Source organism: Homo sapiens, chromosome 2, assembly GCF_000001405.40.
Source record: "Homo sapiens chromosome 2, GRCh38.p14 Primary Assembly".
In the NCBI taxonomy this organism is placed as follows: Eukaryota; Metazoa; Chordata; class Mammalia; order Primates; family Hominidae; genus Homo; species Homo sapiens.
In genome coordinates, this window is record NC_000002.12 from 29,580,047 (window position 1) to 29,600,744 (window position 20,698).

Below are 20,698 nucleotides of genomic sequence, written 5' to 3' on the forward strand. Positions count from 1 at the left end.
TAACGCAGAAATTGGCTCTGAGACCCAGCACAGTGGCATTTTCTTTCTGCCAGGGATTTTTGCTACTGTGTCGGTTTTATGCATATGTCCACATGATTCTTATATTAAGCCACAGGAAAAAAAATCCAATTTGTTTTTTATGAAAGTCCAACCGCTGCCCTGCCAGTCAAACCCATTTATCTCACCCAGCATGGATTGCTCATGTCAACCCGTGATTACCGTGCACTACCTTGATAACAGCCTGCTAATTATCCCAACATCTGAAAAGCTGCCTTTTGTAAATTACATTGCCACTAATGAAGCCCAGATGCACTCGCTTCGGTGTCCTCTCCCGCTCCCCCTTTCTCTGTAATGCACAGGAGCCAAACCGCAAGGCCACCGCTGGCATCTGAGCAACCTTATAACCAAAGCGTAGGATTTCAGGCCCAGCCACAGCACACGTCTCCGGTTGACATAACCCCCATTTGATTCAATCTGCTTTCTCCCAGTTTGACTGGGTGTCAGATTAGAGCCCCGTTATTACAGTCCATGCAGAAAACCCAGATACCAGGCAACACTTTAATTTGGGATAATAAGGAAGATGAGCAACATGTGGCACCGATCATGTAGGTGCAAGGGCTGTGATTTCTAAATTACGCTAAACAGATGTGGAGCGGAAAATTGCCATCCAGATGACAGTTTGGTTCAGCTTGAACAAAAACGGGCCCTGACGTGGTTTGGGGCTATTTATGCCATCCTGCTGCCCAATGGCGGGGAGTCAGAGGGGCTGACGCTTATGCCACAGGTTCAGCAGTGGTCAGCTCTATGGGGTTTTGCTGAGGGACGGCTCCTATGCCCTTCCTGTTGTAGTTTCCTTATGTCTCAGGCAGGCAGAAAGAAGTGTTGAGGGCTAGGAAGCAAGGATGAGTCAGTGTGGGTGGACATGGGGTGCCTCTTTCCACAAGGTCCGATCTTCTGCCCATCTCTATGGCCATACCATGTGGTTCTGCCAAAGCCTGGCATCAAGATTCCTTTCCAAGAAGTTGTCACACATGTTTCAGAGACAGAAATAGAGACAAAGTGGCCAGGCATGGTGGCTCATGCCTATAATCCCAGCACTTTGGGAGGCCAAGGTGGGCGGATCACGAGATCAAGAGATCGAGACCATCCTGGCCAACATGGTGAAACCCCATCTCTACTAAAAATACAAAAATTAGCTTGGTGTGGTGACACGCGCCTATAGTCCCAGCTGCTCGGGAGGCTGAGGCAGGAGAATCGCTTGAACCCGGGAGGTGGAGGTTGCAGTGAGCCGAGATTGTGCCACTGCACTCCAGCCTGGGCGACAGAGTGAGGATCCATCTCAAATAAAATAAAATAAAATAAAAGAGTCAAAGCATGAGCAGAGCCCGTGCAGAGCAGCTGCTCAAAGGGAGGGCCACACCTGGTGGAACCCGCCCCTAGCCCCAGAGCCAGGGGAACACCTCCTAGGACCACTTCGTCATATCCACTTCCCACCAGCTCTGCTCTCCTCTCCCTGCTGTCAGTGCACTGGAGGGAGGAGGCTGGGAAGGTGAAGTGTGGCCTGGGCGCCTTGAGGCCTGTATTGCCCGTCTTGGCTAAAGAAGTGGGAGTTGCTTGCACCAAGACCCAGAGCTCCAGGAGATGGTGACCATCCTAGATGACCAGGGCAGTGAGGGACCTCAGCCCTCTGGATCCCCAAAACAGGAAGGAGTTCCTTTCTTCTCTCTTCTTACTTCTTTCTTTCCAAATTGGAAAGACTGGGCATTTGCCTCTGCTGAGTTTTTGCTCAGTGATGGCTTAAATGTCCATCCTGCCTTGTTTCCTTACCTCTTAGGCAGAGAGAAACATGTAGAAAGGATGATACTAAGGGAAGACTGGGCATGGGTGGTGCCTCTGCAGAGTAGGCTGCAGGAGGTGGCCATGGCACAATCCTGCCTCCACCCCTTCCTTGCGTGCAGACTCAAGTCGAGCATTCATTCAACAAGCATTTATTGGGCCTTCACTGTACAAAGCATGGGGCCAGTGTATGAAGACAAAGAAATATCTCCCACTTAAGCCCTGACCTTGAGTTGCTCAGTCTTCATGAGAAGGGAGATCTGCCTAGATAGAGCCACTTCTGGAGGGAAGAAGAGGATGAGTGCCTATGAGTGACAGAAACAGAGCACCATGCAGGTGCAGCAGAGGGAAACGGCCTTCCTGCTCAGGCAGTCATAGAGGAGGAAGATATTTGAATAGTACTCAGAAACCCCACCCAAAATCCTACAAGAATGGGTATCTCACTTCCTTCTAACTGCTTCTAAAGGCACAATCTCATTTTGTTCAGTATCTCAGTAACAGGGCCTGGGAGGGAATTTGAGCCAGGAGCTCATAGGACCAGTCTGATAATTGAGAACCTAAAATTGGGGTCTCGGGATTGGGTGAGTGCCATGGATGTGACAGATTGTTCAGATACCATGTCCTGGACATTCTTACTTGTCTTACGCCTGCTAGGCTTCTGCGGGGCATTTGCAGATTAAAGGCACACTGTGATGTGACTTCATTTTGTTAGTTTCTGTGTTGATGCTCTAAAGAACATTTACCTGCACAGTCATTCCGAGGAACAGGATCTTCCAAAGCCTGGCATCAAGATTCCTTTCCAAGAAGTTATCACACGTGTTTCATAGACAGAGACCAAGTGTGAGAGAGACAGAGAGAGTATAAAATACAGATGCAGAGAAAGAGACAGAGACGGAACCAGAGAGAACTAGAATTTTTTTCCAGTGTCAACTTCACACAAGGAAAAGAACAAAAGTCAGAATTCAAACCCAGCACTCCTTTTTTTTTTTTTTTCTATTGAGATAGAGTCTTGCTTTTTTACCCACTCTGGAGTGTGGTAGTATGATCTCAGCTCACTGCAACCTCCACCTCCTGGGTTCAAGCCTTTAGCCTGCCTCAGCCTCCCAAGTAGCTGGGACTACAGGCATGTGCCACCATGCCTGGCTAACTTTTGTTTTTTGTTTTTTTGTTTTTTTTAGTAAAGATGGGATTTTGCCATGTTGGCCAGGCTGGTCTCAAACTCCTAACCTCAGGTGATCCACCTGCCTCAGCCTCCCAGAGTGCTGGGACTACAGGTGTGAGTCACCATGCCCAGCCCAAACCCAGCACTCTTAATCCAGAGAAACTGTTCCTTCCACTACACTTTGCTTCTGCTGTTATTTACATAATATTACTGTAAAACTAAACATTGCATCATGCTTTATAATTTGCAAGGCATTTCAAACCTCATAACTGTTTGACAATCCTTTCATCATTATTAGTCTCTGTTAGTCATACAGATACCAGATGATTTGCCCAAGACCACACCACTGGTCAATGGGGAATTTTGCAGCCTGTCTCTGTTAATTCAAGAGAGCTTCCCCAATGCAACCGAACTCCTGGCTAGACCCCTAAGTCAAAGCAAAACCCTTCACAAAGAACACAATAGATGCATCCTCATTCTAATTCCAACCTCTCTTGATCTCAGTTTCTGGACTTTTAATATCAAGATAAACATGCTCCATCTGTTCTCTTCCTGTTCCAGTTACCATGAGATCCCTGCTTCTGCCCTCCCTAAGAGAACTATCTAGAAGGACAGTCCCCTGTACCAGTGACCTCTCTTCCTTGCTGTTTGTCATTTGTCCCATCTCTTGCAGTCACACTCACCTGATGAACCAGATAAGCTATTCTACACAAAACCTGGGATGTTAACAGGGTAAGTAGCCGGCATATGCCTCTGGGGCAATGACCAGTCTTCAGTGGAAATCTCATTATCTACCTAAATTTGTTTACTAAATAAATGAGACAACCTATTTATGTATCATGTAAATTTAATTAGAGGCCTGATTTATTTACTCTGTGTCTATCAACAGTCACCACTTTCTCCAGCTCTGCATCTTGAACACTCTTTCCCTGGCATAAAACAAAAACAATTAGCTTCTGTCTTTCTTGGATCTTAGCCCTGGAGCATAAGGGAGCAGAAGGCTAAAGGCAAAAGCCAAATGGGGTAGGGTAAGTCAGGGGGTGTTCAAGAGAGCCCCCTGAAATACCCAGGCTGCTAAAAAAAAATTACCAGAACTGAGGGGGGCCTCTATGAGAAGGAGACCCTAGGAAACATCTTTGAGTTAAATCTAGCAAGATTTACTGAAGGGCAAGGATGCAGGGAGTCCATGAACATTCCATGATAGGAACCCTCCTCATTTATTACTTGTTAAACGATGTTCCCCTAATTTTAAAGGCAATGCGTGTTCCTTGGACATTTTTCCCAAATAAAATCTGAGAAAAGTTAATGGTTGGTTCATCTGGATCTTAACAGGAATTTTGCAGTGAAATTAGTCAAATAAATTGGAGCAGGCCTGTATTGAACACTGTCTGATTTGGTAACATACCCTGTGACTCTCAGACAGGCACACAGAGTATGCAGGCATCCACACATCCGTGTGACCATGGAAACACTTGCTTGAATACCAAACAAGATATCCAAAAAATAGGACTATTCAAGGCCCTGCCCTTCACTTCTTCCTCCCTCATCATCGGCAGTCTCACACTCACAGGAATACTTTTCTTCACAGAGAAACTCCAGGACCTGCAGAACTCCTTCTATAGAATGGCTGGTTCGGTGTTCTGGAGTCTAGCCCTGGATTTTGCCAAGTGATCAGAATGCCTTTCTGGTTTGCACCTGAGCATGGTGACATCAGTTGTATTTGAAAAGTCATTGTAAGCAATGCCACATAAATGCATTGTTACAATGATTGTTCAGATGCTGTTGAGTATTGGTGTCTCTTTAAGGATCCATATAAAAGATTTCTCTCTGGTCATAGTTTCAGACCACATACATTTTTGTTAAGCAGCTGGTTTGTTTTGCTTTAGCTAAACTGTGAATTTTATAATGGAAAGCACTTCGTGTGCTTTGCTTCGTGTGTGCTGCTTAGGAGGCCCACAGCCAAACGTGTGGCTTCCTCTCTCAGGTAAATTGCATGGCATGGTTTTTTGTATTAAGGACATTCTAAGGTTCATAGTAACTTGCTTATCTATGTTTTCTCCTCTATCTTTCTTAATTATTTTAAATTTATTTTATGTTGCTCAATTATTGATAGTTTTAAACCCTATATTCTTTTTTAGAATAAGGCAAAATATAAATGTATAATTAAAAAATTTTTAACATTTACTTTAGGTGATGATGCAAAGAAGAAAGTAAAAGTCAATTGCAATTCAAACACCAGAGAAAGTTATGCAGTTAATATTTCAATGTATTTTCTGTCAGCTATTATTACTATTTTTTTGAGACAGAGTCTTGCTCTTGTCACCCAAGCTGGAGTGCAATGGCACAATTTCGGCTCACCACAACCTCCACCTCCTGGGTTCAAGTGATTCTCATGCCTCAGCTTCCCAAGTAGCTGGGAAAACAGGTGCGTGCCACCACACCTGGCTATTTTTTTATATTTTTAGTAGAGATGGTGTTTCGCCATGTTGGTCAGACTGGTCTTGAACTCCTGACCTCAGGTGATCCACCTGCCTCGGCCTCCCAAGGTGCTGAGATCACCCGCGTGAGCCACTGTGCCCACCCTGTCAATTGTTTTTACAAAATTAAAATAATATACCATATACAAATTTTTATCTTGATTTTTCCACAAAATATCCTGAGCATTTTTCTATAATATTAAATATTCTCTATATTTACCATTTTCTCATTTGGGGGCTTTTAGCATCTTCTCAGGGTTTTGCTTTGGTATTTTTTTCTATTATAAATAATGTTGTATTAAAAAATCTTTCTAGAAATTTTTTGTTCAAGTTTTTAATTATTATCCTAAGATACATATGTATCTTAATACGTATCCTAAGATACATAACTACTATGAGAATTAGTAGTTTAAAATACATAACATTTTTAATACTTTTGATGAATATTATACAACTGCTTTACAGTTGTAAAATATGTTTATGTTCTTGCTAACAGCATAAAAAGCATGCCTATTTCATCACAACCTCATTGGCATTATTGTGTTATTACAGTTAAAACCTTCGCCATTTTGTAGTAGAGAATGGTTTGTTTTTTAATTTGCATCTTTGAATACCAGCAATTGCAATCATTTTTCATCCTTTTATTAATCTTTTTTAAGTATTCTTCTTTGAATTGTTGCTTCATATCAGTTGCCCATTTTTTTGGGGGGGATATTAACATTTTTTTTTTTAATGTGAGGCTTTCATACATATATTAAATACGATGACTATTTTCTTATGTATTTATGGAAAATATGCTTGTGTTTCCATTTTGTTAAGTTTTTTAACTATAGGATTTTTAATTCTTATGTAATCATCTCGACAGATTTGTTCAATTTAATTCTTATCTACATTTGAGAATGAAATAACTATCCACATATATTATCTTTTAGGTCTCAAAAAAATGCTCTGATCTTTTAAATTTAACTACATTTAGTTAAAATCTAGAATTAATCTTGGTGTATTTTGGGCTTCTGTTGCAGGCTCAAGGCCTAGGCCCATGACAATATATTAATATTGGTTATCTCCAAGCTCCTCTGGGATAGTGGTCCTGTTATCTACCTGGGAAATAGGAACACTTTCAACACTCATTTAGGCTGGACTCTAGAGAAAGTAAAGTAGGCGACAACTTGTGCAGTGTGATTGGAAGTGAATCAGAAAGCCCCATCTCCCCATTGCTACCTACCAAAATATATAAAACACTTTCAACATCCAGGAACAGGACTCAAATTTCACCTTTATAGATATATCCCTTTTCTTTCTACCAGATTCCAATTAATAAAAAACTAAAGCCTGAGCAGTTAAGTCCTCTAGTCAGTTCCCACAATTAAGGGTGATTATTTTTGAAGATGTTTAGCTGAGATTCCCAGACTCCTGGGACCAGTTCCAGGACGGAGGAGCACTGAGATGGGGGAATCTAGTAGGATGAGGTGGGTGTACCCTTACCTGCCCCTCAATGCAAATGAAGCCTGAATCACTTCCACCAACACCTCCCTACTCTTGCCTGAAAGTTAGCCTAGGGCCTTTCTCTTGGGTGACCAGTTAGACTACTCCCCAGGGCAACTGGAGGGATGCTAATATATTTCCCCTTGGGGGAGGGGTAGGATATTCTCATGTTTTAGACTTGGGCACAGACACCAAGTCCCTGGTCTTCTGGTGCAGCAGATCTGAGATTCCTGGCTATTGCCTGATGTCTTTCAAGCAGCTTCACTTCTTCCTTTGACTTCTTTCAGTCCTGATCTCCCATACAAATAACATCTGTCTTTCATGACTGGCATAGGCTGTAAGCTTATTTTTAAGCACAACTCAAAAGCATTGATTTCACAAAGAAGTATAAAGCTCAAGGTGAAATAGCCTTTGCTATTCTGAGAGATCACTTCTTCTTCTGCCCCTACAAGAGTAAATCAAAATTTTTGTTTTCCCCCCTGAGGTGAACTAGTTGGAGGATCCAAAGGTCCAGGCCCCTAAAAAACCCTTCTCTTTTTAGTTCAAGTCACATGCTAATGTGTCAACTCATTCGCCTGGAGCTAATACTTAGCATTTTGCATTTGGTTTTATAGAAAATGCATAACTGTCCATAGCTTCACTTCTTCCTTTGACTTCTTTCGATCCTGATCTCCCATACAGATAACAAGAGCCCGGGTGAGGGGAGAGTTTTAGTAAACTTCCAAAAACAAATAAAGATGAGAGACTGTGTTTATGTTGTATTCAATATTTTATGAGCTAAAAATAAAAATTAAAAAAATGTAGCTTATCCCTCTAAAAGCAACAACATATAGAAATATCAAAATATTGATTTAACAGTGAAGGCCTGGTTCAGGGGAAAGAGGTGGGTAGAGTAGAGCTCTGTAGCATGTGGAAGGCCAACTTTCCCTGCATCTAACCCTCCTCTTGGTTCTTGGGCCAAGACATGCCTCTTCTAGTTCAGGAAGCCAGAGAATGCATCATCAGAGTTTGGGCCAACAGGAATTTCTGTCCCCATCCTGGACAGATTTACTTTGCTTTGCTATCACTAAGGATTTTAAGTAGATTGATCTTGCATCCCAGCTTTTCTGGGACTGTGTCCGTTTATGCAGTGACCCCTTTCACTCTCAAGAACGTCTCCACTGAGACCATAAATTATACATTATCCTAGCTATTCATGGAAAAAGAGATGAGAGAAAAATTTTTTATTTTTATTTTTATTTTTGAGATAGAGTCTCACTCTGTCGCCCAGGCTGAAGTGAAGTGGCACATCTCAGCTCATTGCAACCCCCACCCACCAGGTTCAAGCGATTCTTGCGTCTCAGCCTCCCGAGTAGCTGGGATTACAGGCACCCACCACCATGCCTGGCTAATTTTTGTATTTTTAGTAGAGATGGGGTTTTGCCATGTTGGTCAGGCTGGTTTCGAACTCCTGACATCAAGCGATCCACCCTCCTTGGCCTCCCAAAGTGTTGAGATTACAGACATGAGCCACCGCACCTGGCCGAGAAAGAAATTAAGCTCTCTTTTTGTCTCTAGATTTGGGGATTGTGGTAAGGTGAGTCACATGCTATCCCAGAGGTTAGCAAACTTTTTCTATAAAGGACCAGATAGTAAATATTTTATGCTTTGTGAGACAGACAGGCTTTGTTGCAACTACTTAACTTTGCCATTGTGGAGAAGGTGGCCACAGACAATATGTAAGCAAATGAGTTTGGCTATTTCCTAACTAAACTTCATTTATGGTCACAGACATTTGAATTTCATATAATGTTCATGTGTCACAAAATAGTTTTCTTCTTTTGACTGTTTTTCCACCATTTAAAATGTAAAAACCATTCTTAACTTGCGGGCCAGACAAGGCCTGCAAATTGTAGCTGCCTTGTGCTGTTTCAGCACCTTACTGAATGCATTGGGTACTGGTGAACAAGCCCCTCGCTCCCCTCCGGGGGCTGGTTCTCTGCATACATTGGGTATCATCATCATCAACAACATTTACATTTATATAGCCTGAACACACACATGAGGTCTGAGAGCTTTAGAGGTGGGAGAAACCTTATCATCTCTGCAGCGTTCAACCACCGAGCAAGCGATGATAGGTGAGATGTATCATAAGTAATTTGCTACTGATAATAAACTACCAAAGCTTGCAGGTGATTTATGCCTGTTTATAAGTTAGAGAAGATTTGATGCTGTTGCTATAATAATGCTATTCTCCCTCACTTGCATTTGCCTTCTCCAGGTAGGAGATGGGGTCTGCTGCAAGATGACTAACAGGTGAGGGTCACAGGCAGGACAAATTGCCGTGAATATACCAGAGCTGTGTGACCCGTGACAGGAGAAGTTGGAGGATCTCTAGTCCTACCTCATGGGGAAAAATCTTCACAACAACCCTGCAAGGACAGGTTCAGGAAAAGTGTGGTGGTCCTGAGTTTGTACAGTGATGAAATCGAGGGCAGAGAGACCAACAAGCTTCCTCAAGTTTGTACAGCTTATGAACAGCAGAGCTAGAACCATAAGGCAGGTCTTTTGGGTCCCAAAATTTGCAGGGTTTGCTATGACACACTCAGAGAAACCTCAAACACTCACAGCCTGCTGTCTTTAGGCTCTGACCGGACAACAATATCCAAAATCATTGGCTAACTCCACTGCTATTGTATAGAGTTGGGGCCTTCTCGTTCATGGTTACAGCTCGGGAAGTTACACTATCCCCATTTTATGGATGAGTAACTGTATTTTCAGAATGCTATTACCTAGATCAAAAGAATCTAATGAACATTTAGAGACCTGGCATAAAGTACTTTCATAAGTCAGAATCAGCTGCCAAGGGAGTGGGTATCCCTGTGCCAGGTGGAAGCACTTTGGCAGAAAGGAAAGTAAACAGTGAAGTCCCCTCTAGCACGCTTGTCAAATTGCCATTCTAAAAGGGCTTTGGAGGTCATTGTGTCAAGCTCTCTGTGTGCCAGGGAATAAGAAACTATTGAGCATATTAGGGGAAAGTCACCCCTGGGACACTGCCCACCCACAGCCAAAGCTAGTTTGTCTGGCTTGTCATCAAATGAACTTCTCCACCAGCCAACACTTGAATACATCTCCAGGGCCATGGGAACGGATATGCATAATTCTTCCAGAGGCACACTAAGAAGAACAAATAAATTCCTAATCACGCAACTATTTAATTTCTCTGAACATTCTTCTGAACATAGTGTTATTGGTAGCTTTATTATATTTTAATTGATTGAAAACGGGTCACTAATTTGTATTGCATTAATTACTCTACAACGGTCTACCCAAATCATGCATGGTTCCGCGGCTTGTTTTCAGTTGACCATTTTTAAAGGTTAAAAAAATTTTTTACCTTCAAACTCAAGTTCACGTTCAGTTGACAAAGATTTTTTGCCAGATTAAACTTTAGTGAGGTTCCTGAACCTTCTCCTAGGCACGTCTGTGTCCTCGTTTATAAAACCCAGTGTTATTAAGAAACTTGCTAAGTCAGTTCAGCAAAAACCCTCCACCCTAGATATCTGATAAGGTTTCTCATCTTCCACCAGGCCCCAGGTAATAACTGATCATCTTGGCCTGTCTTCAGCAAGAATCCTGTGAGGTCACTTTAGCCAGAATCCCCCCATTACCCGTGATGTTTCCTCCTTGGAATTTTCCATCCTCTTACCCCCATCCTGCTTCTTGGCTATGTATTCCCACCTGCTCATGCTATATTTGGAGTTGAGCCTCATCTCTCTCCCTCCCTGCAAAAATCCCACTGCAGGCCGGGCGCGGTGGCTCACGCCTGTAATCCTAGCACTTTGGGAGGCCGAGACGGGCGGATCACGAGGTCAGGAGATCGAGACCATCTTGGCTAACACGGTGAAACCCCGTTTCTACTAAAAATACAAAAAATTAGCCGGGCGTGTTGGCGGGCGCCTGTAGTCCCAGCTACTTGGGAGGCTGAGGCAGGAGAATGGCATGAACCTGGGAGGCGGAGCTTGCAGTGAGCCGAGATCGCGCCACCGCACTCCAACCTGGGAGACACAGCGAGACTCCGTCTCAAAAAAAAAAAAAAAAAAAAAAAAAAAAAATCCCACTGCAGTGGCCCCTTTCCCTATCATGATGGTCCTGAACGAAGTCTTACCATGCTTCAGCAAGAATCATGGAATAATTTTTTTTTCTTCAACACAGTACCCCCATATTAAAACAAAACACCAGTTCTGTCTAAACCAATTTCATTTATCAGGTCCTTCAGACTTCCTCATTCTGACGAACTAAATTCTTCATTCTTTCCTTTTAGTCCCTGGAAAGAAGTTCAAAGATTTAAAGCTGCTCTTGAATTTGGGATCTTAAAGACTACTTGGCTTTTGGAAGCATCCGGGCAGCCACAGCCAGGATGGTAAACAAGGGAAGCACCGAAAGCAAGACAGAGGGCTGGACGTAGGCAAGTGGGCATGGCCACCTCCCCAGTCACACCCCAGGGCCGTGAAACATTAAGGCTGATGACTAAAAAGAGGGAAGAATATAAAACGTCAGAGGAGCCCAGGTGAAGGCTGGGCTCTGCCAGAATTTAAAGAGATGGAAATAAACATAGAGCTCTAAGATGGCATTTTGAATTTTTCTCACTAAAGGTCAGAGAGAAGAGGGAGGCAAGGAGTGACAGCAGGGCTAACAACGAGAGAGAAATGAAAGGAGAGAGGGGGCCTGGTAAGACAAGGAAGGAAAAAGAAAGTTTTTACAAAAATAATCAACGTATGAAGTCCTGGTCACGTAGATTACATCATCATCCCTGAGTGGCAGAAGCGCCCTCTAATTCTCGGTGTCGTCAGAGCTGAGACAGACCTTCTGGGCCGTCACTGGCATCTTTCAGCACCTGAGTTCATTCTGGGTTTTACTCTTTCTGTCGTCTTTCTCATGAGTCCGTCTTTATTCTTTTCGGCTTGAGATCCCTTGTTGCCAATCTTAAGATCACTCTCTATCTCAGGTACAAAGTCAAGGCTACCCACATTGAAGGCTGGGGGTATTGTCACTGGAGAACCAGCTCCCCAAAATCCAGATGACAGTGCTTCCGGAGGGGCCTGGGGGATGGAGTGAGAGTTGGGCAGTGGCAGGACCCTGAGTCGCCAGCAGCTGATGGCTTCTGGGGTACTCAGCGGGTCCCAGAGCACCTTTCTGCTCCCTGCGGGTCTGACTCTCATATTCCTCTTAATCCTCATCCTTTGTTCCTGGAATACCACCAGGCCCACCCTAGCCTGAGACCCAGCCACATCACCTGACTCATTGCCACTCCGAGGAGCTGGTCACAAAGCCCTGTGTGCTCTGGGGTCCAGCTCTCTGCTTCTCTCAGATCAGGCCTGAGCTGACCACACCAGCCCTCTCTGCTCCTTAGTCCATGCTGGCTCAAGCAGGCTGCTTGGAGTTGCAAAGTATCCCTCTCGCCTGAGCTCTTGGGGCACAAACTTGGTGGGAGAAGGGAGTGAAAGAGTTGTTTATTCTTTCCCTCTACCTGGGAAGAGGGATGCTGGAGGCCACAAAGCCTCCTTCTCCTCACTTCCTGGCTAGTTTTCATGTTGGGAGGTCAGATAAGTTGAATAACTTATGAAACTAGAGAAATAACCCTTCTCCTAATATCCCTATAGTGTGTTAAACAGTGTCCCTCAGAAAGATATGTACTAGTCCTAACCGCTGGTACCTGCAAGGGAGACCTTGTGTGGTAACAGCGTCTTTGCAGATGTAATTAAGCTTACATGGACTGTAAATCCAAAGAGAGGCAGGAGAAGAGATTTGAGACCCAGGGAAGACATACATATGAGGAAGGAGCTTGGAGTCCTTCTGCAAGTCAAGGAGCTCCAGGAACCACCAGAACTGGAAGAGGCAAGAATGAATTCTCCCTGGAGTCTTGGGAGGGAGAATGGCCCCGCTGCAACTTGACGCTGGCCTCCAGAGCTGCGAGATAATACATTTCTGCTGTTTTAAGCCACCCAGTTTGCGGTCATTTGTTGTGGCAGCCCTAAGAAACTAGCACATGGCCTGAAGCAAATACCACCAATATCAGAATATCTTCTGTTGCCATACATTGGACAGAGGGGTATGGACTGGGCCTCACGAGTTCAGACAAATGAGTCCACAGGTTACGTTACGCCAGTGCCTGGCTGGCATGTGGGGTGAGAGCTTTGGATGAAGCCAACGTAACATTGGTCTGTGAAGGGGCCTTGGGGATTTTGTGGGAACAAAGGATAAGGATGTCAGGAGGTCAGAAAAGTCCCAGAAGAGGGATGGCTGGAGATGATTTCCAGTATCTTAAAGGCTCGACCATTGCCTATGGAGAAACAGGGAGTGAAGAGATGCAGGCAGACTAGGATTTCTCACCCTAGGACGTAGTTTCCCTGAGAATGAGGGAATTGACCCCTCTTCACCGGGATCACTACCTGACACTGCCTTAGAGACCCTGTCCCCTTTCATTCTATACCCTGTATTTCCCACTGCAAAACTTGTTTCCAGAAAGCTCCTAAGGACCTACAGGAGGTCCCCAACTCTGACAGAGCAGAAAATCACAGTCACCTTAGAGGGAACTCTAGGGCTATGCACCTGAGAAGAATATTGGCCGTTAGCCAAGCATTCTTTAATTCAAAGAAAACCAAAACACAGTGAAAGAAAGATGTCACTCTGCATTTAGGGATGTGATGAACACAGTCATTAAATGTAGAAACCAAAAAGTTCAGAAGTATAGCAGAATCTTGCTCTTTTTACTTCCTCTGATATCCTATGTGACTATGGCAAACCAGTGTATTCTTAGGACAAGCTTCTCTATAGTCAATGCTGTGAGTGTTGAGCTGAAGCTGACAGTACCAGCTTTTAAAGTTGATTGTGACATTTTCAGGAACTTTGAAAGAAGATTGTTAAATACAGCCATTATTAAAATATGCGAACTTACAATTAAATCAGTGCTTCTCACTGGGGGTGATTTTGTACTCCATGGGACATTTGGCAATATCTGGAGAGGTTTTCTTGGTTTTTACAACTGAGGATTTTACTAGTATCTAGTGGGTAGAGGCCAGAGATTCTGCTAAACATCCTATAATCACAAGGCAGACCCCCCAAAACAAAGAATTATCCTGCCCAAAATGTCAACAGTAGTAATGTTGAAAAATTCTGAATTAACTACATTATATTTTATAAAGGTAATAAATCACTCAAAACTCATCACTTTCCAACTATTTACTAGTATCTATGTTTTTGAGGTTAGGTATTTACATGCATATTGTGTCTGTATGGTGGAAATACTATATAAGGGTGTGAGCTGTGTATCTCTTCCCAACTCCACATTCGGTAAAATCACGTCAGTAGCTTAAAGTGGCCATGGTGGCAACATTTACACTATGAGTATAGACAAACAGTACAAATAAGGTCTCCTCACTTTTTTTTTTTTTTTTTTTTGAGATGGAGTTTTGCTCTGTCACCCAGGCTGGAGTGTAGTGGCACAATCTCGGCTCACTGCAATCTCTGCCTCCCGGGTTCAAGCGATTCTCCTGCCTCCGCCTCCTGAGTAGCTAGAATTACAGGTGTGCACTACCATGCTTGGCTAATTTTTGTGTTTTTAGTAGACACGGGGTTTCACCATGTTGGTCAGGCTGGTCTCGAATTCCTGACCTCATGATCCATCCACCTGGGCCTCCGAAAGTGCTGGGATTACAGGTGTGAGCCACTGCACCCAGCCAAGTCTCCTCACTTTTTTGAAGAGCCAGTTGTTAAACATGCCCTAGCTCACTACTGGAGAAATGGGTATAGTGTGGCTATAGGGGTGTGTGTGGGGGTTCTCTTCTCTTTCTCACTTCTTTCAAAAGAATGCAGTGAAGCTGAGACCTCTATTTTTCTAAACAAAAATGGGGGGTGGGGGGCGGGGGGCAAAGAAGGTTGAAATAAATGAAGTATCTGATAAAAATGCAAAAGGAAGGAACAGAAGGAATAGATTATTTACAAGAAATAATTTTAAATGGAAAGGAAGTCATGCGTCTAAATATCTTTTTACACGATTAAAAACATCTGAATGAAAAGTGAAAATCAATCCTCCTCCCAGATGTCTTTTCATTGTGATGCCAAGTAGACGAATATTTGAATATTTGCATTACACACAGCTTAATATCTCAATATTAGGAAATATTAAGATTATTTTCTACTTTTTTTCTTCTTCTTCAGATATTTGAAAACAAACACACTTTTGCTAAAGTCGCACATGGTTTCAGAGTGATCCCAGGTGGAAGCAGAGACACAGACAGTGGTTTCTTCACTGAGATCTGCTGTCTTACTGGATTTTTTTTTTTTTTTTTTTTTGAGACAGAGTCTCGCTGTCACCCAGGCTGGGGTCCAGCTGCACGATCTCGGCTCACTGCAAGCTCTGCCTCCCGGGTTCACGCCATTGTCCTGCCTCAGCCTCCCGAGTAACTGGGACTACAGGCGCCCACCACCACGCCCGGCTAATTTTTTGTATTTTTAGTATAGACGGGGTTTCACCGTGTTAGGCAGGATGGTCTCGATTTCCTGACCTCATGATCCGCCCGCCTCGGCCTCCCAAAGTGCTGAAATTACAGGCGTGAGCCGCCGCGCCCAGCCGTCTTATTGGAGTTTGAGATTGATCTGTGATGTGGTCACATTCTTAAAGAGCTCCTCTCAATAAAAACACATGGGAGTAGGGGGAACAGAGAGGAAGACGGAGAGAGAAAACAAAACATTTTCAATGAAAGGAAGAATTTTACAAATTTTAAAACTAAGTAAGCCAATGAAACAAGTCTGTTGGGATAAAGTGGTAGCTCAGAAGGGGAGGCACAGGGAATAAGTTTTCTGAAGCTGAGAGAATTCCAGGACTGAAGGGAAAAAGCAGAAGAACCCTGGACACTGATAGGAATGAACTCTGGACGAAGATAAGGTGTCGTGCTCCAGTAGCGGCAAGCTGGCTTGATAATGAGAAAATGAGGCTGGGGCCATGTTTAAGAAGTGAGAGTAAACGAGTGTCCACTTAGATCCCAGGAGCCCAGACCACATGTACATACATCACCTAATACAGGGCTGGTGCCTACTCCACACTCAACAAATGTTAGCTCCTCTCCCTAACTTTCAATTGCACACGTTTGTGACTTACCTCTCACCTCTGATCTCCTTCAGTTAAACCTACCTCTACCATATCCTTTGGCCAGATTTTTCTTTCCCTAACCCAAATAGAGGCTCTGTTTTTAGGTCCTGCACACTTCTCCCTATATTCCTATTGACAGCTTCAATTGCCCTGTCTGTGAAAATGACTCTGGGGTTCACAGCTTAAGTCCCAATATCTTGTTTCTCCCATATCCTATCTTCTAAGTAGTATACAGACATCCTAAATGTGTTGCTGCCACCTTCACTCAACATGTCCAAAACAAATCACCCTCTCTTTCCCCAAACCATCTTTCCTTCCCTGATAGTGTTCCCTGAAGAGAGAGTGATTTGTCAGAAGACTAGAAGGTGAGGAGAGTAAAGACACCTTAAGAAACAATAGAGATTCAGAATGGCTGCAAGGGGCAGGTAGGGGTGTGTGGAGAGAGGAAAGGGGAAGCTAGAGAGGTGAGCAGGGCCAGATTCTGAGGGCCTTGAGTGGCACTGAGGATTTATGACTTGATCATAAAACCCAGTGGAGAGTCCTAACTGAAAGGGACTGGAAGCAAAATAGCCTTTGATAAAATAGACTCTACAAGAGCGTTGGCATGGTGGCAAGGGCTCTGGCCACTTGAGAATTCCCCTGGCAGGCCAGGGCACGTCCCTACTTCTATAAGAAGAACTGAGACCATGTGGGGAGCCTCCTGGTAACTCTGTGGACTGCAGACTGCTTGCTATGTCTTGAATGAGGTCTGCCCTCTTAAAGTGGTCCATGAAGTCTTTCATCATTGCCCTTTGTGGAGGGGTCCAACCAAACTTTGCCTGATACTGAATTCCTCCCCAGAGGGGATATTCTAGTCTCGGCTGCTGGGTCTTTAGTTGGTGTGACTGTGGGCCAGTCAATACCTAGATCTCTAAGCATCCCCCACTTTGAAACAGACACAAAAAAAATAGCACTCCCTCAGAGGCTGAGAATAAGACAAAGGCAACCGCATTCTTTAAGGCCACAGGAAAGTACCTGGGAAATATGAGCCTATTATTAAAAGTGGGTGGAGGAGATTGGAAGGAAAGGGAAAGTCTGTTGGAAATCCAATCCCCTGACGGGCAGTGACAGAGGTGGGCAGCAGGCCTGGTCAGCCTCACAAATCAGGCTTCTCTTAAATAGCTACTGTCAACAGAGTAGCGAGGGAGTGGAGATTTAGTGCTCACTCTCAAACCCATCATATCTGTTGTGCTTCAAAGCATGGAAAAGATGATAAATCAAAGAAGAATATGAACCAACGCCACTAATTTGGTGCCGAGTTGTTCCATTTGCCATGGAGTCCTCAGAAATTCCTCCACAAAGCCCAGTGCCCTTTTCTTAAAATCACATAACCAATCAAATATTAATAAATGTATTAATTCCTAACAGGAAAGGTGACTCATATGGATTTTGCATTAGGGAAGAAAAAACCTGACAACTAAGAGGTCTCAACTGGTTTTGGTGATCTAACCAGCAATTTTGTCCATTTAGGAAAGATGTGGCTTCCTGATTAATGTGGAACCTTAGCCATGATTTTAATAAAAGTTTTAATATGTACAGCTGCTTAGCTGGAGTCATGTTTAATTAAAACCTTGAAGACTCCTGGAGCGTTCTCTCCTCTTCACCAAGGGAGGAGACACAGAATGGCCCCAGGGTAATAGGGAGATAGCGGGGCAGGTGGAGGGATATTGGGGTGTGGTGCAGGGCTGCAGAGGGGTACAGAGGAGAGGAGCAGAGCACCCATGTGCCTGAGGAGAGTGTGGGCCACTGCCAGCATCTGCCAAGGGAGGCTGGCCAATGTGGCTGTTCTTCATTTGGGTTTTGTCACCTGCTCTAGCTCCTCACTTTGTGGAGGGGAAAACAGAGGTTCAGAGAGTACTGTTATTTTTTGGAGTCAGAGTATCACTCGGTCACCCAGACTGGAGTGCAATGGTGCGATCTTGGCTCACTGCAACCTCTGCCTCCTCGGTTCAAGCGATTCTCCTGCCTCACCTCCTGCGTAGCTGGGATTACAGGTGTGCGCCACCACGCCAGCTAATTTTTGTATTTTTAGTAGAGACGAGGTTTCACCATGTTGGCCAGGCTGCTCTCAAACTCCTGACCTCAGGTGATCCACCCACCTCGGCCTCCCAAAGTGCTGGGATTACAGGCGTGAGCCACCATGCCCGGTACAGAGAGTACTTCTAAAAAGAGAACACTAGTTGTTTGTTTTTTGTTTGTTTGTTTGTTTGTTTGTTTGTTTTGACATGGACTAGTGTAACAGAACCCAGCATAGAAACCTAGAGGTGACACTAAGGCATGGCATGATCCTAAAACAGCTTGTTCTTATCCTAACAGTTTTTATTAGGGACATCATGAAAGCTCATGGCTTCACAGTCTTGCAAGTAGGAATAGGGCAGCCATGGGTCTAGAGAGCAAAGGGCATCAGGCTCTGGTTTTAATAGTACATGACATTTAGTGAAAAATGGTGGTCTACAAAGCTATGTATAATCAGATTTCAATTACAGAATATATACTATAATGTATACTGATGGGCATAGAAAAAAGAATGGAAGGAAATGCTCTAAAATATTAATATTGATTAAAAGCCTTGAGATGATGGGAGCATGAGAAATTTTTATTTTCTTATTTCATACATTAGTATATTTGATGAATATTCTATAATGGGCATGAATTGCTTTTATGACTGAGAGAAATAAATATTATAAACATATAATTTGTATTACAAAATAAATATTACAAGGCACCTTAAGCCATCTCTTTTGTTCCCTGTTACAAAATATATGGACACTTAAAAGTACATGTAAAAGGACACATAAAAAAGCATGAACCAAAAAAAAAATTTTTTTCCTCTACTTTAAAATAACGATGTCCAGGCACTTAAGCTATGTGGTATGGAACCCTGTAAAATGATATAGCTGTGTCATCAATAGATAAGTTACCCTCTGAGGTAGCTTAAGAAACAGTGGCTGGTTTTAAAATGACTACAAAGCAAACCTGACAATAAAATTCACTTAAATATCTGACTCTGCAAAAAAAAAAAAAACACATTACACTCTGTCCTAGAGGAGTACTATGTAATTGGAAGGCCTGTGCTGTACCAAGAACATCCTTAGTATAAGGCACAATCCCAGATGTGATAAAATAAAAATGTGAGCTCTTAAGTACTTTTTAATGTTTCAAAGTCAACGAGGAACTAACTGCCAGGAGTAGGATGGCAACTCTCTCACTTCATAACATGTTTTTAAGCAGAAAAATTCCTTAATAGAGGACGTGGAGTCATATTTAAGGAAGGGAGGAGGCTTGAATTGTGAAGCACCAAGGGGGCTTTTAAATGAAGCTGTTGAATGAGTTGGCTTTTGGGGTACAAGAATGTGTGTGACCAGGGCTTTGTTTGCAGGGCCTGCAGTACAATGCAGATTTTCAGGGACCTGCCTGGACCAGAAGGGAAGAATTTGAACTTGAAGACACTTGAGTTTCTTCTTGAAGATAGAAAATTGAGCATAAGCTGACACTTCATTTTTCCACACCAAACACTGGCAAAGGTAGAAAACTATTTAAGTGTAAAAAGAGTTAATAGATATATATCCATACTTGAAAGCAAGAAAGAGACATCTCATGAGACCAAAATGGGGATTCCTTAAACCCTAAAACATGAAAACAAAAGGAACATCAAATGGGCAATACGCCAATGCTCTTTGCCTGTAGTAAGGACAAGACCACCCTCATGAGGCTGGGGGCTGGGTCACCATGCTCACTGGTGTTGAAAAGCTAAGCTGTGTGGTTCCCACCCCTACCATCTCCCTAAGATTGGGGGTGATGTGATTACCCATGGCGAGGTGAGGAAATTGCTACTCACGTGACACAAGGGCCCAGAGCTCACTCCGGTGAGGACAGAGCTCAGATCCACATCACCCATCCACACGTGGGGCAGACCAGTGGCCAGCACAAGCCTGAATGGGAACCACTTCCCCTCAAGTCTAGGGCTAAGACCCCCCAAGACTGTTTTTCCTGGGATACCACCCAGAACATTCAGAATGGTGGCTTCTGGCAGAAGATGAGCTCATAAACCAAAAATTCTCAAGCCTGTGGGAGAGTAACACCACAAAAGGCAGACAACAAACAGAAGTCACATGGGGAAACAGAGCTGATAGAGTAACATTAAATTGGCTCTTAAACAAGTATCTTTACTCAAAGAGATAAAGGACGTAATAACATCCATGGAAAAGAATAGGTGATTATGGAATGAGAGGAGGTGGTTATCAAAGAGAAAACACATAGAAATTTTGGAAATGAAGGCTGAAGAAGTAGAGGAAGACATTAAATCATAGTTTATGTGGGAAACAAAATGCTGAGGTTAAAGAAGTAGCTCCTGGCATTGGAGAAGAAGCAAATGAGAGAAACAGATCCTAAGCCTGCTGGGAGATGGGCAATGCAAGTGTTTCAGGCTGATATCGTGGGGGCTGCTCACGTGCTCAGGACTGTTTGTGTACAGTGTCGATTGCATGGTGGGGGTGGCCCTGAGAGCTCAGAGGATTCAGGCCAGATTGAACTTTGTGGGAGCCAAAGATAGGTTGAGATGATTCAAAA

The 20,698-nt window shown here is 43.6% G+C and overlaps 1 protein-coding gene across 2 annotated transcripts in view; it reads right to left on the reverse strand.

Moving 5' to 3' along the window:
- The window catches only part of ALK (ALK receptor tyrosine kinase), a 728,813-nt gene that overhangs the window by 387,273 nt on the left and 320,842 nt on the right, over positions 1-20,698 (reverse strand). The gene's annotated exons all lie outside the window — the stretch shown is intronic.